We start from the raw sequence: 27,951 nt of genomic DNA, 5'->3' as shown, positions 1-27,951 counted from the left end.
AACAGCACAGCAAAAAGGAAAGAGGAAGACAAGATCAGGCTTTCCTTTATCCAAGTTCTGCCACTGCCAGTCTCAATTAGGGGAAGGAAAAAATTTCATTTTAAATCAAATCAAAGTTTGATTCTTATCTGGGACTGGACACTTTTTGTTACCGAATTGAGAATGTGAGGTGCGTGTGATTTCAGTTACCTGAGAGTAATCAGAAAAAATTTCATCCAGTTGTCAAGGTGGGGCCAACACCATTGATTAGATTTGAAGAGACTTGAGGGGACAAAATAAAATTGCTTTTGCAATTATACCTTGTGAAAACTGCTTGCTCAATGTATTAGTCATATTTATTTGCTAACTTTAATCTTAATATCCTGTCAGAAAATATAATTAGCATAGCTGAAAGTTTTTTAACTGAAAAGCAAAAAAAAAAAAAAAAAATCAAACCGATGCTAAAGGAAAAAGCATATGATTTAAACTGTTGTTTCCATTCATTAAAATAATGAATTAAAATTGGCATGTAATCAAAAAGTACATATTTGTCATTTAACAACCTGAGAAAATTCATATAGGCAAAAAAAGAAAGAAAAATCATTGTGCTGTGTCTTGCAGATAATAGGAAATATTAACACTAGATTACATCTTTTTCAATGTTTCATAGAGGGAATCATCTGCAATTTTTATTCACCAAATAGTGTGTTAAAATTTTATTCCAATAAATGTAAATATTTTTAATTTTGAGTGGTTTTGTAGACTATTGAATTTAACCATGCTAATGTTAATGTTAGATATTCTTCAATTTTACATTATTATAAGCAACACTCTTCATACCCTTTCACTGTATATTTTGCCTACATTTCCACTCATTTTTAGGATGAATTCTTGGAAATAGAATAGGAGGGTCAATATATATAAACTTTGGCCAAATTGATCCAGATAAATATTAGACTAATTTCTACTTCATCCTTAGCCATGTATGAAAATCAACTTAATCTTAATTTATTTAAGAATTGAAAAGTGGTACCTTATTACTACATGTATTAGTTTCCTAGGACTGCCATAACAAAGTACAACAAACAGTGTGGCTTAGCAAACTAATGCAGGAGCAGAAAACCAAATACCGCATGTTCTTACTTCTAAGCAGGGGCTAAATAATAAGAACACAGGGACACATAAAGGGGAATAACACACACTGGGACCAGTTGGAGGGTGAAGGGTGGGAGGAGGGAGAGTATCAGGAAAAATAACTAATGGATAGTAGGCTTGATACCTGGGTGATGGAAATAATCTATACAACAAACCCCCATGACACATGTTTACCTATGTGAAAACCTGCAGATGTACCACTGAACTTAAAATAAAAGTTACAAAAATTAAAAATAAATAAATATGTGATTTTTACTCTCAAAAAATAAAAATAAAACAAAGAAAATGTATTATATCACAGTTATGGAAGCTAGAAGTACATAATCAAGGTGTCAACAGGGTCATGGTCCCTTTGAAATTTCTAAGAGAGCAGCCACCTTCACCTCTTCAGGGCTTGGGTGGTGGTCAGCAATTCTTAGTGTTCCTTGGCTGGCAGCTGCATCACTCCAATTTCTGTCTCTGTCATAATGTGGCATTCTCCCTGTGTGTCTTTGTGTCCAAAATTTCCTCCTCCTAAAAGAACATTGGATTAGGGCCCACCCTAGTGATTACTTGATTACACTTGAAAAAACCCTATTTTAAAACAATGTCACATTTACAGGTTCTAGGAATTAAGTCTTCAACATATCTTTTGGGAGAACAATTATGCTACTCTAATCTACATCTCTTTGATTATAAGTGTAGTTGAGAATTTTCCATATTTTATTTGAATCATATTTTTTCATTCTTGATCCTTTGTCTATTTTTCTAGTAAAGATAGAGATTTTCAAAAAACTTCACTGGTAAAGCCTTTTAATACATTAGGCATATTAGTTTTTTATAGAATATATGCTGTAAATATTTTCCTATTTGTAAATGGCCCTTTAATTTCCCTTATTCTGTTTTCCCCCCACCGTATAAAAGTTTAAAATATTTATTTAATCAAATCTAGTAACATTTTCCTTTGTGGTTTCAGACATCAGTGTACTGATTTTTCTTAAAAAATCTGTCCTGAAGAAAATATTACATTTACACTTATAATCACGTCTTTTTTTTCTAATGGTTTATTGAATATTTAGGTTTTAATCTATCTGGAATTTTTTTTAACGAAAGGTGTGACAAAAAGTTGAAAAATAGTTCCAACTTTATATATATATATAAACTATAAGATATGTAGTATATTGTTAAAATCTAATCAGCCAGTACTACGAAGAAGCCTATGGTTTGACAAAATCAGATTTATTGAGTCAGAGTGAGAGAAGGCATTCCTTAGGACTGTATGCTGTTCTCCACAGGAGGGAGGAGACTAACATCTGGAAACTTTGGAGGATGTAAAGGAATCAAGGATCAGTTTTGGAGTGGTGACTGTGAAGTGGGATTGGAGAAGCTGAATTAACTAGGGATTGAGGGCAAGAATGGCTTAGCAATCGGGTATCCCAGTAATAGACAAGCATAGCAGCTGTCTGGGGACATCGTCAGTAAGAAAGCAGTAGCTACCCAGAAAGGATGTTGCTTTGGCATTTTACAGATGCTGCATCAATTTAGGAGAAACAGTGGCTCCCGTCAACTGTGGAGCTGACTCTATCTGCATCTGTACTGTTGGCCTTATAAATGGCAGAACTGTTTTTCCTTTTCTTGTCTAAGTTGACTTTCAGTCTCACAGTTCCAGAAAAGGTTTTACTCTTTCAGTATAATTTATTAAATATAATAAATATGATATATAAATATTTATGTATTATAGATTCATATTTTATGAGAGCCTATTATTTATACTTTTAACGAGTAATCTGAAATATAACTCAAATCATAGTTTCGTATCTCTTTGACCATTTCTAAGCTTTTTCTTTCGTTCTAATAGCTTTATGATTCTACCAACTCCAGAATTACATTGCTTTGATTATTATGCTTTATATTAGTTCTTTCTTAGTCTCTTTCTTCGTATGTCTTCATTGATTCTTGATTTCATTTTTTTAAATCTTAAATAACAAGTTTAATGATATTAGCATTGCAAAATTAGCTTCAACTATGAATATCAGAAAAACCAATATAACTCTCATATTTTAGAAGATAAATTATCTAGGGCAGATAGAGTTACCCCTGTGTCAAGAAGCAGGCTCTTTCTGTTTTCATTTCTCAGTTGTGCATAGTCTTAACTTTGTGGTGCATGAGAGTAGCAATCATGTTCCTTGCTGCAGGATGGAGAGAAGAATGAACATTAAGGAGGGAGTGAAGATGAAGAAAATGCAAAGATACGTGCACCCTACTTCTTTAGGAAGGCTTCAAGAAACTGCCATGGGATACTGCTGCTTACATCTCACTGGCAAGTGATGTCACATGGCTATACCTACGTGCATGGAAGGCTGACGTACATGATCTTTATTCTGGGCTACTATGAGCTCAGCTAAAATTTCCATTACCATGGAAGAACAGGTTAGTACATATATAGGAGCAACTAACTGTCTCTACTTAATCATGTCCACTGTCTCTTTACCAATCTTTTTAACAATATTTACTTTTTTCTTTCATTATTATCAAAGCTATTTTTTATATTTGTTATGTTAAAATGTATCATCAATACTTCTCAAAATTGTATTATAAAAAAACAACTGTTTCAAGAAATCCCTTCTATACCCCCAGTTTTGCCCCATAGATGTAACTACTAGGAATTCTTTGAGTATTTCATTTTTAAACTATTTTTCAAGAAAAATAGGTTTATGCTGCCATTGAAAAAATGTTTTTGTTTTCTAAGTTTGATAAGGATATGTGTTTTTCACCATTATTTTTCCTTGAGTCATATATTTCCCCGCAACCAGAATCCAATTTATTACATTATAATTCTTGGTTAGATTAACATTCCATTTTAATGTAATGATGACTAAATAAATGTTAAAAGCTATCATATAGTGTAATATGATTTCATTTTTTATATAATCCCCCAATTAATAATTTTTTTTGCCTTTGTTTACAGTATATAGTGAAATATTACTACAAGTAAGCAAATTAACATAACCATCATCTTCTATAGTTACCTTTTTTTCTGTGTGTGTGTGTTTAGCAAATTTTTAATATACAACACAGTATTACTAACTATAGTCCTTCTGAGGTAGGAAGCAGGAGGGCCTTATCTCCAGATCAGATTGAAGACTGCCCAAAACTGAGAAGAGGCGCTGAAAACACCTCTCACTGTCCATCAGCATAGGATACTTCCACCAGCACTATGACAGTTTAACCATTGCCATGGCAACACCTGAAAGTTACAGCCCATTTTCTGGCTATTTCTAAATACCCCACCCTTTAATTAGCATGTCATTAATAGCAGGTATAAGAATGACTGAAAACTGCCCCAACACTGCTATTCTCCTTGTATTGCCTGTGGTGTAGCCCTGCTCTGCACAGCAATCATGGAACTGTAACACCGTTGCTCATTAAAGCTGCTTCCTGGCCCGGCGCGGTGGCTCACACCTGTAATACCAGCAATTTGGGAGGCCAAAGCGGGCGGATCATGAGGTCATGAGATCGAGATCATCCTGGCTAACACAGTGAAACCCCATCTCAATTAAAAATACAAAAAAGAAAAATTAGCCGGGTGTAGTGGTGGGCGCCTGTAGTCCCAGCTACTCTGGAGGCTAAGGCAGCAGAATGGCGTGAACCCGGGAGGCGGAGCTTGCAGTGAGTGGAGATCGCACCACTGCACTCCAGCCTGGGCGACAGAGCGAGACTCCGTCTCAAAAAAAAAAAAAAAAAAAAGAGTTGTTTCCTTCCACCACTGGCTCACTCTTGAATTCCTTCCTGAGTGAAGCCTAAAACCTGCCCTACATGACTTCTGCTATACATTTCATCTCCGGACGTATGTATATACCTCACTGCAATTTCTTTTAATTTTTAGTTTTACAATTTTTCTGGGTACATAGGTGTGTATATTTATGGGATACATGAGATATTTTGATACGGGCATACAATGCATAATAATAATATCAGAATAAATGGAAAATCTGTCCACTCGAGCATTTATCTTTTGTGTTGTAAGCATTCCAATTATACCATTTTGGTTATTTTGAAATGTACAATAAATTAGTTGACTTTAATCACCCTGTTGTGCTATCAAATACCAAATCTATTCTTTTTCTCTAACTATATCTTTGTACCCATTAACCAGTCCCAATTCCCCTCCCCTACCACTACCCTTCCAAACCTCTGATAAACATCCTCTTTCTATCTCAATGAGATCAGTTGTTTTAATTTTTGGCTACAGTGAATGAGTGAGAACATGTGACATTTGTCTTCCTATGCCTGGCTGATTTCACTTAACATAATGTCTTCCAAGTCCATTCATGTTATTATAAATGACAAGATCTCTATTTTGGGGGGCTGAATAGTACTCCACTGTGTATATATACCACATTTTCTTTGATACACACGTAGATTGTGCATTTATCTGTTGATACACATGTAGATTGCTTCCAAATCTTGACTATTGTGAATAGTGCTGCAATAAATATAGGAGTGCTGATATCTCTTCAATATACTGACTTCCTTTCTTTTGGATATATACCAAGCAGTGGGATTGCTGGATCATATGGTAGCTCTACCTTTAGTTTTTTGAGAAACCTCCAAACTGTTCTCCCTAGTGGTTATATTAATTTACATTCCCGCCAATAGTGTATGAGGTGTCCTTTTACTACACATCCTCATCAGCGTTTGTTATGAACTGTTTTTTGGATTAAAACAATTTTAACTGAGATGAGATGATATCTCATTGTAGTTTTATCTGCACTTTTCTGATGACCAATGATGTTGAGCACCTTTTCATATGTCTGTTTGCCATTTGTATGTCTTCTTTTCAGAAATGTCTATTCAGATATTTTGCCAATTTTTTTATCAGATTATTAGATTTTTTCCTATAGAGTTGTATGAGTGCCATATATATTGTGGTTATTAACTCCTTGTCAGAATGGAGAGTTTGCAAATATTTTCTTCCATTCTGTAGGTTGTCTCTTCACTTTGTTGATTGTGTTCTTTGCTGTGCAGAAGCTTTTTAACTCAATGTGATGTGATTCCATTTGCCCATTTCTGCTTTGGCTGTCTGTGCTTATTATTATTCAAGAAATCTTCACCCAGTCCAACGTCCTGGAGCATTTCTCCAATGTTTTATTTTAGTGGCTTAAGAGTTGGAAGTCACAGATTTAAGTCTTTATTCCATTTTGATTTGATTTTTGTATACAGCAAGAGATAGGGATCTAGTTTCATTCTTCTGCATATGAATATCCAGTTTTAACAGCATCATTTATTGCGGAGACTGTTCTTTCTCCAGGGTATATTCTTGGCCCCTTTGTTGAAAATGAATTTACTGTAGATGTACAGATTTATTTCTGGCTTCTCTATTATGTTTTATTGGTCTATGTGTCTGTTTTTATGCCAGTGCTGTACTGTTTCGGTTACTATAGCTCTGTAGTATAATTAGAACTCAGGTAATGTGATTCCTCCAGTTTTTATTATTTTGCTCAGGATAGCTTTGGCCGTTGTGATTCCATATGAATTTTATATTGTATTTTCTAATTATGTGAAGAATATCATTGCTATTTTGCAAGATGTTGCATTAAATCTATCAATTACTTTAAGTATTATGGACATTTTAATAATATTGATTCTTCCAAATCATGAACAGGGAATATCTTCCCTTTTTGGGTTTTCTTCCTTTCTTGCATCAATGTTTTGTAATTTTCATTATAGAGATCTTTCACTTCTCCAGTTAAGTTAATTACTAGGTGTTTTATTTTATTTGTAGCTATTGTAAATGGGATTACTTTCTCGAATTCTTTTTTAGATTATTGACTGTCAGCATACAGAAATGCTACTATTTTTATATGCTGATTTTTTTTTTTATCCTGCAACAGTGCTGAATTTGTTTATCAGTTCAAATAGCTTTTTGGTAGAGTCTTTAGGTTTTTCTAAATATAAGATCATATCATCTTCAAACAAGGATAATTTGATTTTCCAATTTGTGTGCCCTTTATCTCTTTATCTTGTCTGATTGCTGTAGCTAGGACTTCCAGTACTATGTTGAATAACAGTGGTGAACTGGACATCCTTGTCATGTTTCAGATTTTAGAGAAAAGGATATTCATATTTCCCCAATCAGTATGACACTAGCTATGGGTCTGTCATATATGGTTTTTTTCTGTGTTGAGGTATGCTCATTTTGTACGCAGTATTCAGAGGATTTTTATGATGAAGAAATGTTGAATGTTATAAATGCTTTTTCAGCATCAATTGAAATAATCATATGGTTTGTCTCCTTTATTCTGTTGATATGTGTGTTATATTTACTGACTTGCATGTTTATATGGCTTGGCCATGTACCCACCCAAATATCATCTTGAATTGTAATTCCCATGATCCCCACATGTTGTAGGAGTGACCCAGTGGGAGGTAATTGAATCATGGAGGTGGTTATCCTCAAACTATCCTCATGATAGTGAGTGAGTTCTCACAAGAGCTGATGGTTTCATAAGGGGCTTTTCCCCCTTTGCTTGGCACTTCTCCTTGTTGCCACCATGTGAAAAAGTATGTGTTTGCTTCCCCTTCCACCATGATTATAAGTTTCCTGAGACTTCCTTAGCCATGCTGAACTGTGAGTCAATTAAACTGTTTGCCTTTATAAATTACCCAGTCTTGGGTATGTCTTTATTAGCAGCATGAGAATGGACTAATACAGTAAATTGGTACCAGAAGTGGGGAGCTGCTATAAGAATACCCTAACATGTAGAAGCAACATGGGAACTGGGTAACAGGCAGAGGTTGGAAGGTTTGGATGGCTATGAGAAACACAAGAAAATGTGGGAAAGTTTGAAACTTCCTGGAGACTAGTTGAATGGCTTTAACCAAAATGCTGATAGTGATATGGACAATAAAGTCCAGGCTCAGGTGGTCTCAGATGAATATGAGGAACTTGTTGGAAACTGGAGCAAAGGTGACTCTTGTTATGCTTTACCAAAGAGACTGGCAGGATTTTGCCCCTGCCCTAAAGATCTGTGTAACTTTGATCTTGAGAGAGATAACTTAGGGTATCTGGCAGGAGATATTTCTAAGCAGCAAAGCACTCAGGAGGTGACAGAGCCTAAAACTTTGGAAAAATTTCAGCCTGACAATGCAGTGGAAAAGAAAAATCTATTTTCTGGGCAGAAATTCAAGCAGAAATAATGAGGAGCCAAATGCTAATGGCCAAGACAATGGAGAAAATGTCTCCAGGGCATGTCAGAGGCCTTTGAAGCAGTGCCTCCCATCACAGGACTGGAGGTCTAGGGGAAAAAATGGTCTCCTGGACTGGGTCCAGGGGACTCCTGCTGTGTGCAACCTTGGGACTTGGTACTCTGCATCCCAGCTACTCCAGCCATGGCTAAAAGGGGCTAAGGTATACAGCATGAGCCATAGATTCAGAGGGTGGAAGCCCCAAGCATTGGCAGCTTCCATGTGGTGTTGACCCTGAGAATACGCAGAAGTTAAGAATTAAAACTTGGGAATTGCCTCCTAGATTTCAGAGGATGTACGGAAATGCCTGGATGGCCAGGAAGAAGTTTGCTGCAGGGGTGAAGCCCTCCCTCATACAGAATTTCTGCTAGGGTCATGTGGAAGGGAAATGTGGGGTCAAAGCTCCCACAAAGAGTCCCCACTGGGGCACTGCCTAGTGGAGCTGTGAGAGGAGGGCCACCATCCTTCAGACCCCAGATGATCTGTCAAATGCTGAGAATGGGATGCTGAAGTCTTAAGCTATTGTCATATTGGCGTCAATCTCTCTCTCTGTAACTCTGCTAACTTTTTTTTTATATATCTGTGTGCTCATATGTTGAATGCATATATATTTACAATTGTTATATGCTCATGCTGAATTGACAACTTTGTCATTATATGATGACATTCTTTGTCTGTTTCCACAGTTTTTGTCTTAAAATCTATTTTGTCTAAAGTGAGTATAGCTGCTTCTTCTCTTATTTTGTTTTGATTTGTCTGGAATATCAGTTTCCTTCCCTTTATTTTTAGTTTATAAGTGTCTTTATAGGTGAAGTGCATTTCTTGTGGGCAACAGATCATTGAGTCTTGTTTTATTATACATTCAATTATTCTGTCTTTTGATTGGAGAGTTTAGTCCATTTACATTCAGTGTTATTGTTGATAAGTAAGGACTTATTCCTGCCATTTAGTCATTTGATTTCTGGTTGTTTTCTGATCTCCTGTTTGTTTCTTTCCTTCCTGTCTTCCTTTTTGTGAAGCTGATTTTCTCCAGTGGTATGTCTAATTTCTTGCTTTTTATTTTTTGTGTATCAGTTGCAGGCTTCTTGATATGAGGTTATCATGAGGCTTACAAATAACATCTTATAATACATTACTTTAGACTGATGGCAATTTAACACTGATTGCAAAAACAAACTAACAAACAAGCTATAAGAAAACTAATAGAAACTCTAACTTTGTTCCCCTGCTTTTTAACTTTTTGTTGTTTCTGTGTGTATCTTATTATACCGTCTGTATCTTGACAGTTAATATTATTTTTTCATAGGTTCATGATTTAGTCTTTCTACTCAAGATATGAGTAGCTTACACACCACAATTACTGTGTTACAATATTCTGTGTTTTTCTTTGTGCTTACTATTACCATTGCGTTTTGTACCTTCAGATTATTTTTTATTACTTGTTCATGTACTTCTTTTCAGACTGATGAATTCCCTTTAGCATTTCTTGTAAGACAGGTCTGGTGTTGATGAAGTTCCTCAGCTCTTGTTTTTCTGGGAAAATTTTTATTTCTCCTTCATGATTGCAGGGTATTTCCACTGGTTAAACTATTGTAGGATAATTTTTTTTTCCTTCAGCACTTTAAATACGTTATGCCACTCTCTCCTGGCCTGTAAGGTTTCCACTGAGAAGTCTGCTTCAGTGGAAGATCAGAAATATCGAAGCTCTGTTGTATATTTGTTTCTTTTCTCTTGCTGACTTTAGGATCCTTTCTTTATCCTTGACATTTGGGAGTTTGATTATTAAATATATTGAAGTAGTCTTCTTTGAGTTAAATCTCCTTGGTAGTCTAAAAACCTTCCTGTACTCGAATATTAATATTTTTCTCCAGGTTTTGAAAGTTCTCTGTTATGCTTTTGCATAAACTTTCTAATATATATATATATAAAATGTGTGTGTGTATATATATATATATATATATATATATATATAATGTGTATATATATACCTCCTCTTTCAGGCCAATAATACTTAGATTTGCCTTTTTGAGGCTACTTTCTAGATCTTGTAGGCAGGCTTCATTTTTTAAAATCTTTTTTTGGTCTCCTCTGATTGTGTCTTTTCAAATAGCCTGTCCTCAAGTTCACTAATTCTTTCTTCTACTTGATCAATTCTGTCGTTGGCATGTCTGATGCATTCTTCAATATGTCGATTGAATTTTCAGCTCTAGAATTTCTGCTTGATTTTTGAAAAACCATTTCAATCTCTTTGTTAAATTTATCTAAGAGGAGTCCAAATTATAAATTCCTTATCTGTGGTGGTTTTTGTTTTGTTTTGTTTTATTTTGTTTTGTTTTTTGACAGAGTCTCACTCTGTCACCCAGGCTGGAGTGCAGTGGCAAAATCTCAGCTTACTGCAAACTCCACCACTCGCTTTCAAGTGATTCTCCTGCCTCAGCCTCCTGAGCAGCTGGGATTACAGGTGTGTGCCACCACGCCCAGCTAATTTTTGTATTTTTTTTTTTTAGTAGAGATAGGGTTTCACCATTTTATTCCTGGTTTTATGTTTTCAGCTTTCCCTTTAAATTCCACATGTAAATAAAATCATGTGGGCTTTTCATTTTTCTCTCTGTCTTATTTCACTTAGCATAATGTCCTCCATGTTTCTGAAAATGCCAATATCTCCTTTGCTAAGGTTGAATGATATTCCATTATGTATATATACCACAATTTCTTTATCCATTTACCCATTGATGGACAGTTAAGTTGTTTCTATATTTTGGCTATTGTGAATAATATTGCAATGAACGTGGGGGTACAGATAGCTCTATAAAATGTTCATATCATTTCCTTTGGGTATATACACAACAGAGGTATTGGTGGGTCATTTTTTGCTTTATTTTAAAATTCTTCCCTATAGTATCTACAATTAGCCATTCTTTCTATTTTATCTTCCTGGCCCTCTGTATCACTCAGCTCCAAACTTTACTGATTTATCACTAATACACATGGTTGCCCTTCTTTTCACTATCATTCTAAAAATTCTCTTTGCTTCTCTCCTCTGCAGGATCCTCTGCTTCCTGACCCCTAGATCCTCTTTCTTGCTTTAATCTGACTTTTTGATGATGTAACTCTTTAAATCATTAACCAAGACTGTTATCTGAAAATAGAAGTTCCTCAGAATTCTCCATTTTGAAAGTATAGTAGAAACTTAACTTAATTTCATGGTTGAAATATATGTTTAAGGTCTTGCTATATAAAATATATAAATAATTTCTGGACGTGTTATATACTGTGTACCCTTCATATATGTCTTAATTTGGTGCCAATACATTCAAGAGGAAATAAAATATTTGTTATTTTTAAAATTTTTGAATATAGATTTTTAAATATCTTGACCTGAATCTACTTTATAAACTTGTAGTCTTTATGTCTGATTGGATCCCACGTGTTTTTCAGCATTTCTGTGTCTAAGGCAGAGAAGTCACCATCTGTTTGTAGTAGTATCCTTTAGGTTCAGGAGAGCACTTCCCTGCGTCCAGATGAAGTCATCAGTCAAAGAAAAATTGGGTCAGAGGAAAGCCCACCACTGATAGACTTTCTGTTTGGGTTAGCCGTAATCTTGGTCTTTTGTTGATGCAGAGCATAGTGAGTTCTGTTGTAAATTCTTGGCAGGATGAGGGGCTATAATGAGGGCTCTTGTACCTCCCATGGGCTGTACATGTCTATCTTTTATCTTCTCACTACTGTTGGTACTGAGTGCACAATAGCACACAGCTTCATCTGTTTAGTTGAAGCTAAGCCAGTTCCACCTATACTCTGAAGCAATAAACACTTAAAGTTTATGGCACCTTATTACTATTTTTGTCTTGCTTCAGCAAGTTGTTTTTTGGCCCTCCCTCAACCTTTTGATAGTTATAGTAATTGATTTGTACATATTTGCTCCTCTTGGACTTCCCTACCTCCTCAGTATTCCTATACTTTCAATAAAGAAAAGACATAATGATATCTGGGCAATAAATTATATTTCCATCATTTTGATTGGAAATGGTGGAAAGAAAAGACAGCACTACTTTTAAAAATTAATAAATTAGTGATAGTTTCTTTCTCTATATCACAAGAATTAGTTATTGAATTCATAATCAAGACAAATGTTGTCAAGTACTCATATATTCTGAAGACAGCAAAATTAAGGAGGAGGGAAAAGCCACTTTAGAATTTATTAGAAGACAACCAAACTAGCTCTGCTACTTTCAACTGTTATATCAGAGCTCCCAAACCCTAGACTAAATGCAATGAAAATTAAGTAGAAAGTAAGGAGAGAGATGTGAGATGGAGGGTGCCATAGGATTGCTGAGACATTGACTGTATTCAGAAGGAGGGTCTACAGAGAATCACGGTGGAAGAGACCAGGAGAATCATTCAGAGAGTTTAGAGATGCTGGTAAACATGGACAATTCATTTCTCAGTAGAATATTTTGCAGCATCCAACTTGTGGATCTTCTCCTTGCTTCTGTTTGAGCTGGAAAGAGAAGAATTGGAAACAGATAGCAGGACAGAGAAGAGCTCAAGTGTGGAGCAGCCTTTACTTGCATCGTTTGGCTTGGCAAGTTTCCTGTGGCTCAAGTAGATGTAGCAAAAATTAGCCAGACTTGGTACTCCCTAGGACCCCTATTTAAAATGAACACATGCTGGAAGAATAACTTCAGTGGCAAAAAGCTATGGGGCACCCTGCTGGGGTATATATGAAAAAAAGGAAAGTGGAAAAGTCTTAGCAGTAACGAAGATGTCCCCATAAGGTACCTGAAGAACTCAACTGTGCCTGCAATGAAAGTTAAAGCATTTTTTTTTTTTTTTTGCCATCACAAAAAAAACCAATGGCCAGTCAGGGTTCACTAGAGGAGCAGCAACATCCAAGAGAGGATCACAATGAAAAAGCAAGAAATGCCTATCCTTTTTATTTCTTATTACCTTCTTTCTCCTAAAAGAGATAATGGGTGAGAAATGAGAGGGGAGAGAGCAATGGAAAATGGACTGTGTTCCCTCCCTTACTCAGGACGAAGTTCAGCTATTCCTAGGAAAAAGAAAAGAGAGGATAATTAAATTAGACATGAACTAGATGTCTTAAACTGGGCTCAACCAAAAATAACATTTTATTAATTGAAAATGATCAAAGAGTTATGCGATCTATCTGACATAGCCTTAGGGGACAACAAAAGGAAATTTTGCATAGCCTGGTTGGATCAGCAACTGGAGGAAAAGAATAGACAAACATTCCTATATTTATATCCTGCTAGGTTTATACTATTGATAGGAATAAATATAGAAGAAAATAGATATAAAGCAATGAGGAAAGTGTATAAACAAGTCCTAAGAAATGCATGCAGTTAAATTTGAGTTTTACTTGGATTAGTGAGGGGAGTGAGAATGTCAAAGAGATACTGAAAAATTTTAAGAATTTTAAATTGCCAATGAAAAAAATGTTTTGTCATATGACTTTTAGAAATCATCTTTTGGTGGGCACAAAGTGAAAAAAAACTCAGCAATTTTTTCACACATTCTTCTTTTTCATTAACTGATTGAGCATCTTTACTTGTCAAACATGGGTTAACTTGTTGGATGGACATAACAGTCCTGCTCCTGAGCTCCTGGAACTTGTGTTCTTTTTTCCCTAGATGCTCAGAAGAAAAATAAAACCCTGTAGAACCAGTTAGCAAAGGCACAGAAAATCCAATGACCCATGGTCTTTCATAATGGGAAAAATTAGCATTAGTTTAACACCTGGTACATGTCTTCAGATTCATTATATAATTTCATCTTCAGCATAAATACAGTGTAAGTACTTATTCCTATGGGGAGAACAAACAAATCAAGGCCCAGTATCATTATATAACATTCCCAATCTCAGCCAGCTACATAAATGGCAGAGCAATAATAAGACACCGATTTTGTCTGGAACCAAACCCTGTGGTTTTTTTCCACTACATCAGGCTACCTCTTTATGACATGGCCACACAGAGGCAAACAAAACATTTGGGAGAGATATCTACATTTTGTAATTTGGAGATCAAAGCAATATGGTATCATTTTAATTGGGAGCATTATTGAGTAAATCCCATACAATATGGGTAACTTTGGATTTATCCTTAAGCTATAATTCCTTAATAAAGATTCATAATTAAATGAGTCGGTGTATAAATTTACCCAAATAAAATCATATAACATAGATAAAAGCATTTTGGGTTATTTAGAGGCAAAGCATTATATAATTTTTATAAGAATTTCAGTTTACTGTAGAATTCCATAATGTAATTATGTAACTTCATGATTTTCAAAAATTTACAGAAATTAATTTTATTCATTGCATTACTACGTTATCTACAGTTTTCTGCTGTTCTCCAATCATAAAAAGAAAAAGAAATAACAAAAATCTCCCCGGGGTAAATAATACTGTAGCCCCTGTCATGAAATAAAATATGCCAGTCCCTTCCTATGTATAAACCAAGAAGAAGTATCATGATGACAAAGTGGTTCAAAAGGCTACATTCTGACTTCTGGTATATAATGATGTGCTCAATTATTAAATGATGCCAAAAAAGATGCCTATACAAATAATTGTTATTTCTATCTATACATATTCTATCATTTATAATTTTAAGTAGGATGTGTTTAATTTCATATGTTTATTCAGAAAGCATTTATAAGGAAGCTACTCTGTCCTGGATGCTATGAGAGATAAGAAATTAATACAACAAAATCACTACTATTTGGAGATAATAGCTAAGTAAAATAGATGATAGTATATACACAAATACTGACAATATAAGATATAGTGTAAATGGTTTTATACACAAAAAAAATAAATTTAGTGATATGATTGTTCAAAGTAGAGCTTACTTTCACCCAAATAAATCAAAGAAGTCTTCTTAGAGGAGGAAGTAATTGAGCTGGGCTTAAAAATTGACATTGAAATATATCAAATGCATTTAGTATTAAACTATTAATAGGTTTTCTCTTTCAATCAATTTAGGCAGCTTATTTTAATAATTTTTTAATTGTAAGACATACTTTTACTTCATCAAGAAAAATTGCTCATGGATAGGAAGAATCAATATCGTGAAAATGGCCATACTGCCCGAAGTAATTATAGATTCAATGCTATCCCCATCAAGCTACCACTGACTTTCTTCACAGAATTGGAAAAAACCACTTTAAACTTCATATGGAACCAAAAAAGAGCCTGCACAGCCAATACAATCGTGGGCAAGAAGAACAAAGCTGGAGGCATCATGATACCTGACTTCAAGCTATACTACAAGGCTACAGTAACCAAAACAGCATGATACTTGTACCAAAACAGATATATAGACCAATGGAACAGAACAGAGGCCTCAGAAAGAACACCACACATCTACAACCATCTGATCTTTGACAAACCTGACACAAACACACAATGGGGAAAATATTCTCTATTTAATAAATGTTGGGAAAACTGGCTAGCCATATGCAGAAAACTGAAACTGGACCCCTTCCTTACACCTTATACAAAAATCAATTCAAGACAGATTAAAGACTTAAATGTAAGACCTATGACCATAAAAGTCCTAGAAGAAAACCTAGGCAATGCCATTCAGGACATAGGCATGGGCAAAGACTTCATGTCTAAAACACCAAAAACAATGATGACAAAAGCCCAAATTGACAAATGGTATCTAATTAAACTAAAGAGCTTCTGCACAGCAAAATAAACTATCATCAGAATGAACAGGCAACCTACAGAATGGGACAAAATTTTTGCAATCTACCCATCTGACAAAGGGCTAATATCCAAAATCTACAAATAACTTAAACAAATTTACAAGAAAAAAAAAACCATCAAAAAGTGGGCAAATGATATGAACAGACACTTCTCAAAAGAAGATATTTATGCAGCCAACAGACATATGAAAAAATGCTGATCTTCACTGGTCATTAGAGAAATGCAAATCAAAACCACAATGAGATACCATCTTGCATCAGTTAGAATGGTGATCATTAAAAAGTCAGGAAACAACAGATGCTGGAGAGGATGTGGAGAAATAGGAACACTTTTACACTGTTGGTGGGACTGTAAACTAGTTCAACCATTGTGGAAGACATGTCTGGCTATTCCTCAAGGACCTAGAACAAGAAATACCATATGACCCAGCAATCCCATTACTGGGTATATATCCAAAGTATTATAAATCATTCTATTATAAAGACACATGCACACGTATGTTCATTGTGACACTATTCACAATGGCAAAGACTTGGAACCAACCCAAATGTCCAACAATAATAGATTGGATAAAGAAAATGTGGCACATATAGAGCACGGAATACTATGCAGCCATAAAAAAGGATGAGTTCATGTCCTTTGCAGGGACATGTATGAAGCTGGAAACCATCATTCTCAGCAAACTATCACAAGAACAGAAAAACACCACGTTCTCACTCATAAGTGGGAGTTGAACAATGAGAACACATGCACATAGGGAGGGGAACATCACACACTAGGGCCTGTCAGGAGGTGGGGGGCTTGGGGAGGGATAACATTAGGAGAAATACCAAATGTAGGTGACAGTTTGATGGGGTTGATGGGTGCAGGAAACCACCATGGCACGTGTATACCTATGTAACAAAACTGCAGGTTCTGCACATATACTCCAGAACTTAAAGTATAATTTAAAAACATAAAAAATAAAATGTCATCCTCTACCCCAGCAAAAAAATAAAATAAATGAGTTGATATAAAAAAATCTTTATGTTCTGTTTGACTTAAATTTATAGTTCTGAGATTGATAAAATTATAGCTATGTTATTTGGTTTGGTTGGTTGTAAATAAAAGAAAAAATATAAAAAAAGAAGAAAAGGAAAAATGCATTTTAAAATATGGTACTATATTCAATTCACTTGTATTTATTTTATTTTGGACTTTGCATATTTATTCGTATGTATCCAGGAGACTAGTGTATTGTAATATTTTCTTTCTGTGTACCATCTCTACCAAATTTTACTATTAACATAAAATAAGTGATATAATATGCTATCCTTTTCAATATGCTGGGAAAATTTACCAAGGAGATCTTCAGTTACTTGAAAAATATGAAATGATTGCCTGGTAAAAGTACTATACTTTGGATCAATTTCTTATTTATTTACTTGTTTAACTTTTACTTTAGGTTTAGGGGTTGCATGTGCAGGTTTTTTACATGGGTAAATTGTGTCACTGAGATTTGTTGTATGAAAAATCTCATCACCAAGGTAGTGAGCATAGTACCCAATAAGTAGTTTTGTAAACCTCTCCACCCCTACCACCTTCTTTCTTCTAATAGTCCCTGGTGTCTATTGCTCCTGTCTTTTTGTCTGTATGTACTCAATGTTTAACTCCCACTTATGAGTGAGAACATGTGGTATTTGGTTTTTTGTTCCTGTGTTAATTTGCATAGTATAATGGCCTCCAACTGCATCTACTTTGCTGCAGAAGATATGATGTCATCCTTATATGCGGCTGAGTAGTATCGCATGGTGCATATTTACCACATTTTTCTTTCCAGTCCGTTGTTGATGGGCACCTAGGTTGATTCTATTTCTTTGCTAATGTGAATAGTGCTGTGATGAACATATGAGTGCATGTGTCTTTTTGGTAGAATGACTTATTTTCCTTTGAATATATACCTAGTAGTGGGATTGCTGGGTCAAATGGTAGCTCATTTTGTCTTTGAGAAATCTCCAAACTGTTTTCCACAGTGGCTAAACTAATTTACATTCCCACCAACAGTGTATAAATGATTCTTTTTCTCTGCAACCTCACCAACATCTGTTATTTTTTGTCTCTTTAATAATAGCCATTCTGAGTGGTGTGACATGGTATCCCATCACGGTTTAGATTTGCATTTCTCCAATGATTAAAGATGTTGACTTTTTTTTTTTTTTTTTTTTTTTTTTTTTTTTTTTTTTTTGAGACGGAGTCTCGCTCTGTCGCCCAGGCTGGAGTGCAGTGGCGCGATCTCGGCTCACTGCAAGCTCCGCCTCCCGGGTTCACGCCATTCTCCTGCCTCAGCCTCCCGAGTAGCTGGGACTACAGGTGCCCGCCACCATGCCCGGCTAATTTTTTGTATTTTTAGTAGGGACGGGGTTTCCCCATGTTAGCCAGGATGGTCTCGATTTCCTGACCTCGTGATCTGCCCACCTCAGCCTCCCAAAGTGCTGGGTTTACAAGCGTGAGCCACCGCGCCTGGCCGAACATTTTTTCATATATTTGTTGGCCACGTGTATGTCTTGAGAAGTGTCTGTTCATTGGATCTGCTTCCTGAAGGTAATTCTCTGATGGTATTTTCAGTTTTCTCCAAAATTATGAATGCACCAGTAGCTCTGTTCAAGTTTATGTCTTCTTCTTAATTATATTTTTAAATATTTTATATTAATAAAATTATATAAATAAAATAATAATTACTATTTTCTAGAAAATTGTTCATTTCATCTTATTTAGATTTTAAAATTCATTTGCAAATAGACTACTGCACTGTATTACCGTTCTCTCTAATTTTGTTTATTTATAGAGTTTTTCTTAATTGGGTCTTTTTAGAGTTCTTGGTTATTTATTTTCACCAGAAAACAAATAATGTTGAGAGGCACAAAGATGGGCAGGAAAGGACATAAGAACTTACTAGAATAAAGAAATAGAAAAGATAAGAGGATAAGATTTCCATTAAATGAAATATTTATTTTGATAGAAGTAAGGAGAAGAAATGCAAGATCAAGTCCTCTGTAATACAAAAAAATATTGCATTTCTTGATAACACAATAATGCTTTCTAAAGTACCATTTTATTATCTGTGCTTCAATATTATATCTTAATAGACAAGCGCATTTATAAAAATAAATGTATTTAAATACAGGTGGTGTGTGCTGAGGCTTATATTTATCCAGAAAAAAAGCACTGTACACTGAAAATTGAGAAATGTGTTTGCTAACTATAGTACAGGCACTGGGGCAAGTTAGTTTTAAGCATCTGTCTGACTTCTTTTTGCTTTTCCTGAATCAACAGGGAATGACACTTGTCCCATCTTTGTCATCCAAGGGTATTTCAATAATAAATAAAAATACATGAAAAGTATCTTTAGTCTTTTAAAAATGAATGGTAAACAAAAAACTTCAGTTTTCTTTGAAATATAATTAAAGAAATTTTTCCTCACTGTATTAGTCCATTTTCATATTGCTAAAAAGAACTGCCTCAGACTGGGTAATTTTTAAAGGAAAGAGGATTAATTGACTTAGAGATGGCTAGGGAGGCCTCTGGAAACTTATAATCATGGTGGAAGGCAAAGGGGAAGCAAGGCACCTTCTTCACAAGGTGGTAGGGAGGAGAAGTGCTGAGCAAAGGACTAAGATCCCCTTATAAAACCATCAGATCTCCTAAGAACTCACTCCCTATCATTAGAACAGCTTGGGGGAAACCACTCCCATGATTCAATTATCTTCACCTGGTCTCTCCCTTGACATGTGGGAATTATGGGGATTTTGGGGATTACAATTCAAGATGAGATATCGGTGGAGACACAAAGCCTAACTACATCACTTACTAATATTAGTAATATTGTATATAATTACATACAATATAATATATATTATTATATTATATTACATCTCCACCAGAACATTTACTGCATGCTTTAATTTCAGTGTTTGTGGCAAATTGATTGAAATTAAGGTTATTAAAGAACTGGACCCTCCGTTATGAAACGTCTCAAAGTAGCACTGTAATTCCTCTCTTACGTATGGCAACTGGCAATGTTAAACATCAGGACTGTCTCCATATTGCAGTAAGTACAGCCATTTCACAAGGAAGCCTCCTTTATTTATATTGTTGGCCCTCTCCTTTTCTATCAGCAAGCACAAGTACAATGAGATCCTGGAACAAATGAGCTTATTAAGATCATGGTTAGACATATCGTTTTTCAAATCACACTCTACAAGACAGATATGCTGGCAAAGCTGTAATAAATGTCAAGGCTCAAGGCATTCACTATTCTTTTTAGCAGCCTGATGGCTTGGCTAGAAAAGCTTTACATAAATTTTAGTGCACACCTGTCAAGTGGCAGGCGTGATAGTCTGCTATCGTGCAGGAGCCTGAGCTGTGATTTCTGGGCTGGCACCACTGCCATCGTTTTCAGTGCAATCATGAGCTTTTCTCTGTTTGTGACCGATGAAATCTATGTGATCACACTGAGAATCTGTGCATCTTGGCGGATCTGCCAGTGGTACTCATCACATAGAGATTATTTTAGATTGGCTGCCATGAAGTGTTATTTCCCATTTGTTAACACAATGGGGTTTCATGACTATGAGAACTGAAACACATTCATTTGTATATGGGTTTTGTCCTTGTTGCAATACAAAAACCTGTCCCATCTTTCCTACGACTCCTTTAACCTTTCTTTTTCCATCAGTTCTCTACCTGAAACAACTGCAGTGCTAATTGTGTCACATTTTTCCTAAGTGGAAAACAGAGGGGGGAAAACCTTGTGCTGTTTTAACAAGCTAAATTTGTGAGTTAGAAATAAACTTTGTGATCCCAATTATATGAAATAAAATTATGTTTCATATTCTTGCATACATATATGCTTAGAACATTTCTGAAAGAAAACTCATTAAATTGTTTATAGAGATACCACTAAAGAGGAAGGAAGATCTGGAGACAGGCAAGTCAGGGGTCTTCCATTTTCTTTTATGTATATTATGGTAATGCTTGTATTTCTCTGATGATAAAATATTCATTTATTCCTGGTATAATAAAAAAGACTATTTTAAAACAGGGAAAATGAAATATTTGTATCAAGAAGAGAATAGGGCACCATAAGACGATACTTTGATGAATATTGCCATATATTTACATAGTGTGTTCACATACATCGTATCACAAGATCCTCACAGAAACTTACTGGGATGATAGGATCAGATATTAGCATTCCATTTACATAGGGGAAATCTGAAGCTTAATGAGCTTCAGCGATGTGCTTCAGTTTCCAGTGAAGTTTCTAAATCAGGAGTGAAACCTGAGTATTCTGACATTTAATTGAAGCTTCTACCCCATCAAGCACCCACCCCCACCACTTCATTGTTTCCTGCTCTGAAAGCAAGAACAACATATTATTTTTGCCATTTTGTAACTTTTCTGACATGTATGTACAGTGTATATATTTCAAGTTACCCATACAGTCAATTTTATACTAATAAAATAGACCAATTACTTCGTAGACTTGCTCAGATGGAAACAGAAATTTAGATTCTGGAACATAACCAAATTTCAGTACTAAGCTTTTCGTTGAAGAAAAAATAACCATAATTATGTTTAGCACAATAATTTTTTTTGCAAAGTTATGGCAAATGCCAGAGCTCTGGGTTGTCAACTAACGGATGTTTGCCATAAATATCATTTAAAAATATATCACTACGTGAAAATATTCATTTCTATTAATGGCATAGTCTTGTATAGTGGAATTAATAGCAATTCGCCAGTTGAGCACTGGCACTGTTGTTTGTTTATTTATTTATTTAGGAGACAGAGTCTCGCTCTGTCGCTCTCCCAAGCTGGAGTTAAGTGGTGCTATCTCAGCTCACTGCAACCTCCGCCTCCCAGGTTCAAGTGATTTTCCTGCCTCAGCCTCCTGAGTAGCTCGGATTACAGGCATGTGCCACCATGCTAGGCAAATTTCTTGATTTTTAGTAGAGATAGGGTTTTGCCATGTTACACAGGCTGCTCTCAAACTCCTGAGCTCGGGCAATCCACCCGTCTCAGCCTCCCAAAGTGCTAGGATTACAGGCATGAGCCACCGCACCCAGCCACTGGCACATTTTGTAAAAACCTTTAATCTCCTAACAAATAGTCATTCGAGGCAAAAGCCAAGAAATTTAGGAAACCCCTTACCTTCCCATCCTTCTTTATCCCAAAATCTTTGCCCTTTTAGGGTAATACAATGATCTATGATTGTTTTCCTTTTCTCAATCATTTGTGTAAGTATTTCAAAAGAGAAAATAGATACTGAAAAAAAGACTTTACCTCATGTTTACATCGACAATTTTAAAAATAAAATAATAATACATATTTGCATAGCTATGCAAAAAGACTACATTTACATATCAAAAATTTATTGGTGACACAAGCCTATGGAAAAATGCTTAACATCACTAATTATCAGGGAAATGCAAATCAAAACCACAAAAAAAGTAGATCTACCATTTGTTTCAGCAATCCCACTACTAGGTTTCTACCTAGAAGGAAAGAAGTCATTATACTAAAAAGATACTTGTACACGCATGTTTATAGCAGCACAATTTGCAATTGCAAAAATATAGAACCAGCCCAAATGCTCATTAATCAATAAGTGGATAAAGAAAATGTGATATATATATATATATATATATCATTTCATTTGATTTCCACAATAATTTCAACTATATATGTTGAAATTATATACATATAATTTCACTATATATTTATGATATATATTGTTTAGTGGAATTAACAGCAATTCTCCAGTTGAGCACTGGCATTGCTTATACTATAAACACTGTTTATACTGTTATACTATATATGTACACACACTATATATATATTTATACTATTTTATATATATATATATATATATATATGCACACAAACACAATGGAATACTAGTCAGCCATAAAAAGGAATGAAATAATGGCATTCACAGCAACCTGGATGGAATTGGAGACCATTATTCTAAGTGAAGTAACCCAGTAATGGAAAACCAACCATCGTATGTTCTCACTCATAAGTGGGAGCTAAGCTATGAGGACCCAAAGTCATAAGAATGATACATTGGACTTTGGGGACATGGGTGAAAGGGCAGGAGGAGGGTGAAGGATTAAAGACTACACATCAGGTACAATGTATACTGCTTGGTGATGTGTGCACCAAAATCTCAGAAATCACCACTAAATAACTTATCCATTTAACCAGATACCACCTGCTTCCTAAAAACCTACTGAAATAAAAAATAATTTAAAAAATAATTCTTGATGACCTTGAAGCCATTAGCACTCATTCTAGTGATTCTCACCTCTGGGTTCCTGGTACTCTTTGAAAGTATGTGGGAACAAGAGAGAAATACTTGAGGGAATTAAAAATCTTCAGACAATATTAAGTAGTCAATGATAACCAAATAATCATAAATGTCAGATAACAGGGTCTCACAGTTCTTTGCCTTACAAAGTACTAGGCTGCCCTTCAGCCCTGACACTGTTTGTATCTGCCCTCTCTGAGCTCCTCTCATAAGGCAAAGTGCAAACAACACTTACCTTCCCGATAAGCTGGTCACTGTGCTTTTTGACTGGAAACTGACTCTCAGCCAACACATAGGGTGTGCTCAGTTAAACCTTTACTCTGGCAGATGTTAAGCAAACCCATTACTGATGGAAGAAGAAAATATAATGTCACGCTTTGCAACTTTGGAAGCACACAGGTGACAGGGTCATGATGAGCAAACACCACAAAACACAGGTTAAGAACCACTTCATTTTCTTTCTTTCTTTCTTTCCTTCCTTCTTTCCTTCTTCTTTCTTTCTTTCTTTTTCTTTCTTCCTTTTCTTTCTTTCTTTCCTTCCCTCTTTCTTTCTTTCTTTCTCTTTTTTCTTTTTCATTCGTTCTGATGGAGTTTTGCTCTTATTGCCCAGGCTGGAGTGCAATGGCATGGTCTCAGCTCACTGTAACCTCCAGCTTCTAGGTTTGAGCGATCCTCCTGCCTCAGCCTCCCAAGTAGCTGGGATTACACATTCCTGCCACCACGCCCAGCTAACGTTTGTATTTTTAGTAGAGACAGGGTTTCACCATGTTGTTCAGGCTGGTCTGGAACTCCCGACCTCAGGTGATCCGCCCACCTCAGCCTCCCAAAGTGCTGGGATTACAGGTGTGAGCCACCTCACCCAGCCCACCTCATTCCTTTTCCAAGTGAGCCCACAGTTGCTACTGGCACAATGACTCCGGGAGATGGACAGCCATTTGTGGAACTGGAATATTCATCTCTTGGACACAGCTGTGATTTCTGCATTCTGTTCTTTCTCTTAAAGTCCCTGAATCTGTACTAGCAATTGCCCATCTGCACAGTTTTGGACTCACTGGATGGAAGAGCTACAAGAATCCTGTCTTTTGTTTCTGGGAGCTTGGAGGCAAGAGATATAAACCTGTCACATTTAACAAATAATTACTATTTTGGTATTTATCTTTATTTCCAACATATTTCTGTCTTTTTATAACTGCAAAGGCTCATTTAATGTGTGTTAGACATATTTCTGACAGCTTTATATAAATTAAATCATCTAATCATCAAAACAACCTTGAGAGAAAGTTACTACCATTATGTACATTTTATGAATGAGAAAATCGAGCCACAGAGAGGTGAAGGGATTTGTCTGAGAACGGAAATACATTAAGTGTTGGCTTGCTCTCGAGGCTGTGGTCTTAACTGCTATGTCATGCCATCTCATTTACTGACTTCTCTGCGCACTGGTTCTTCCTCTGCCTGTCTTTCCATCTGGAAAAGAGCATTTAATATTTCTAGGTCCCCTAGGCCTCTTAAACAGCCTCATGTATTAAAAAATAAACTATTTCAATTATGTTGTTTATTTTGAAATTAAAAGCTTTGAGATTTTATTTTATAGTGCTCAAAAATCTTTAAAAAGTGACTAAAAGCTGGCTTTTATTGATGATGATTAGATGATTTAATTTAATGCTTAAATGGTATCCTCTCCAAACCAAACACACTTTATGGAAAAGGAATGCATTTCATAAATCATCTTTCTCCTCAGAGTCCTAAGAAAATAGAAGGCAAAAATGACCTTGAAATCTCTGCTGACCTTCTTAACACCGTGTAAGAAATGTTTTAACTCTCTGTGCACATGTGCCTTTCCTTTCAATAGCTATTGAAGTTGTCGCTTGACAAGGGATTGAGAGGGATAAGACAGAAGGGGCATTCACCATGATTCTATTCCCGGAAACTGACATTTTATCTTAGAGGAAATAAAGCATCATGTGTATGTTGACTTTAGAAAATGTTTAACAGAAGCTCTGACACATAAATGAAGCCACAACTTCTTTCTAGCACGAAGTGAATGTTTTAACTAATGTCTCGCTTTGCTGCATTTTGGTCAAGTGTTTTCCTCCTCCCTTTTCTTCCCCTGGGGCTGGGTGCCAGGTATTGCTCTAGGTCCTAGAAATATAGAGGCAGTGTCTATAGCATAGTCCTTGCTCTGTAGGATTTCATTTGGTTTCCACAATAATATCAACACCCTGAGACATGGAGCTTCCAGATTCCAGCATCTTTATGTTCATATTTTAGCATGCCAACTTTCCAGATTCTACTTTTAAGTTACATTAATAGTCCCATTATCTTCTACAACTTGAAAACAAATACTCACATCTTACCTAAACTGATGATTAAAAATTGTACATACGTGAATGAACAAAGCACTGGAGACTATCAATCCAAAGAAAATTCTCATTAAGTGCTGACAAGGAAACCATTAATACTTGTGTAGTTTCAGGGAGAGTAATCAGACTTTTGATTAATTCAAAACCATGATTTGATGGCAGCCTATGCAATCCTGAACAAAATTAGGGCTTTTCTCCAATCTAGCTAGATCGCTACAAGGTAAGAATTTAAAGGAGAAATGAGAGTTATAAATAGCTCCTTCACTGAAGCACTCCATAGTTGAGAAATTAAAGAAAATGACAAGTAGCTCAGCTGGTTTATTTTCTCTGATGTTATTGAAATAAAAACTTGGACAACAGCCTTTTTACATTTTTTTAGGGATTTCTTGCACTCAATTTGACAGGAAACTATGGTTTTTACTTAAGGAAGGTGTGGGATAATTATTTTTTCATTTGTAAAATATAACAGTTGTTTCAGATGGTAAACTGTAAACATGCTAATGATACTTTAGCTGTATTACTAAAGGTTTTCTTCACACCCATTAAGCCATCTAATGGTCGCAGTTCTAATCTTCATTGAAGATAAACAGCACTAACAATGTGCACACTTCGGCTTTCTGGGCACCTCAAGGCCTTTGTTCAATTGTTGTTTGATGAGCTTGTATAGAAAAATAGTGAGAAAATCTGAGGTATTATCATTTCTGTATAGGCAGCTAAGTGAGCTATCTACTATTTTTAAAAGACAAGAAGAGAATCACATAAAATATCCACTTTAAGTGGTAAATTTCATTACCAATACCATCATTGACTCTATGACAGAACTGTAAGTTAAAAATATGTGAGGTAGACACTATTGTTATTTCCATTTTAACAGATAATAAACAGGGGCTCAGAAAGACCAAATGACTTGCCCAGGTTCATTCAGCCAGTCAGCTGTCCAATCCAGATAGGAATTCCAGTCTGTCTGATTCCAAAGCCTAACTGCAGCTTTGACTAAGCTGCTATTGAGATTGAGATGCTAGCTCAGTGTAAGTTATTAATCTCTTCCACAGCACCAGAGGAAAGTCAATTTGCAGTTACCTTTGGATTAAATAATATATTCAATCCTTACTTGCCCATTGTGACAGATTACAATAAAGTTACACATACACACATGTATGTACTATGTTTATTCTTTTTCAAAAGAAGAATCAAATCACTTCTTATATTACATTTGTAATTTTGTAACTTAATAATTCATGGGCATCCTTTCAAGTTAATACATAGTGATCTAATATTTTCTTTCTCATAATTGCATCCCATTTCAGACAAGGATAAGCTACCTATATCTAAAGATTACACATACATACATACACACACATATACTTGTGTATATATAGAGAGGGAGACAGAGAGAAAGAAAGACAGACAGAGTCATTGGAGTTTTATTCCCTTTGATAGATTTCAAAAGTGGGACGGCTGGCCAAGAAGATATAAACACACAACTTTTCTAAACTGTTTTATTACTTTTCACATCCACCAGCAATACATGAAAGTATCTGTTTGTCTATCTCTTCTCTGCGTCTGGTTCCTATTGCTATTTTTTTTAGTTTTTGTCAATTGATGAGTGCAAAATGACATCTTAATATTATTTAATAACTCCTGATGAGTAAAGATGTAAAGGTATTAAAGTATAGATGTTTACATTTTTATGTTCTACTAAATATTTATCTTACTAGTTTGCTTTTCTATTCGTTTTTATTAAGTTGCATAAGCTCACTGTATACGTGTCAAAATCTGTGAAGATTTGAAATTTTACACTACTTGAAAACTAACAGTCATTCTGCTATAGTTTTATGGATGCAGGCAGAAGACACAAGACTCCTGGGTCAGAGACAAAGGGCATTATTTCTCAGGACACAGGAAGCATCATGAGCATCAGTATGTTTGGGTCAGTTCTCTTCACCTACAAGTCCCACACGGATGTTGCCGATGGGGCTAGATGACATCTGCACATTCAGTAAGTTGTGTTAAAGGGAAGAAACCCAAAGTTTTTATAATGGACAGTCAGCATTCCTGCCTTTTGCTCCAGAGATAGACACTGTCTATAACTTCCAATGTTGTTTGCTATCCATACATTCTTGAAGACATAGTCCAGA

The 27,951-nt window shown here is 35.5% G+C and overlaps 1 long non-coding RNA gene across 1 annotated transcript, besides 1 other annotated feature; it reads left to right on the top strand.

Annotated features, from left to right (window-relative positions):
• The first annotated feature begins 4,879 nt into the window (after nucleotides 1-4,879).
• On the top strand, nucleotides 4,880-27,728 carry LOC105373769 (uncharacterized). Its single transcript, XR_923636.3, has 3 exons — nucleotides 4,880-4,960; nucleotides 20,047-20,186; nucleotides 27,645-27,728. It is a non-coding gene; the product is annotated as an uncharacterized LOC105373769 (long non-coding RNA).
• Nucleotides 8,556-8,780: a silencer, noted in NCBI's record as "fragment chr2:181293207-181293431 (GRCh37/hg19 assembly coordinates)". NCBI's record gives its function as "represses an EF-1alpha promoter that drives an FKBP-Casp9 reporter gene in an ReSE screen in phorbol 12-myristate 13-acetate-treated (for megakaryocytic differentiation) K562 erythroleukemia cells {active_cell/tissue: K562(+PMA)}" and the evidence as "EXISTENCE:reporter gene assay evidence [ECO:0000049][PMID:32094911]".
• Nucleotides 27,729-27,951: the final 223 nt, after the last annotated feature.

This window comes from Homo sapiens, chromosome 2 (genome assembly GCF_000001405.40).
Source record: "Homo sapiens chromosome 2, GRCh38.p14 Primary Assembly".
Lineage (NCBI taxonomy): Eukaryota > Metazoa > Chordata > Mammalia > Primates > Hominidae > Homo > Homo sapiens.
Note: the sequence above shows the minus strand (reverse complement) of the source record. Positions and strands in the feature narration are given on the sequence as shown.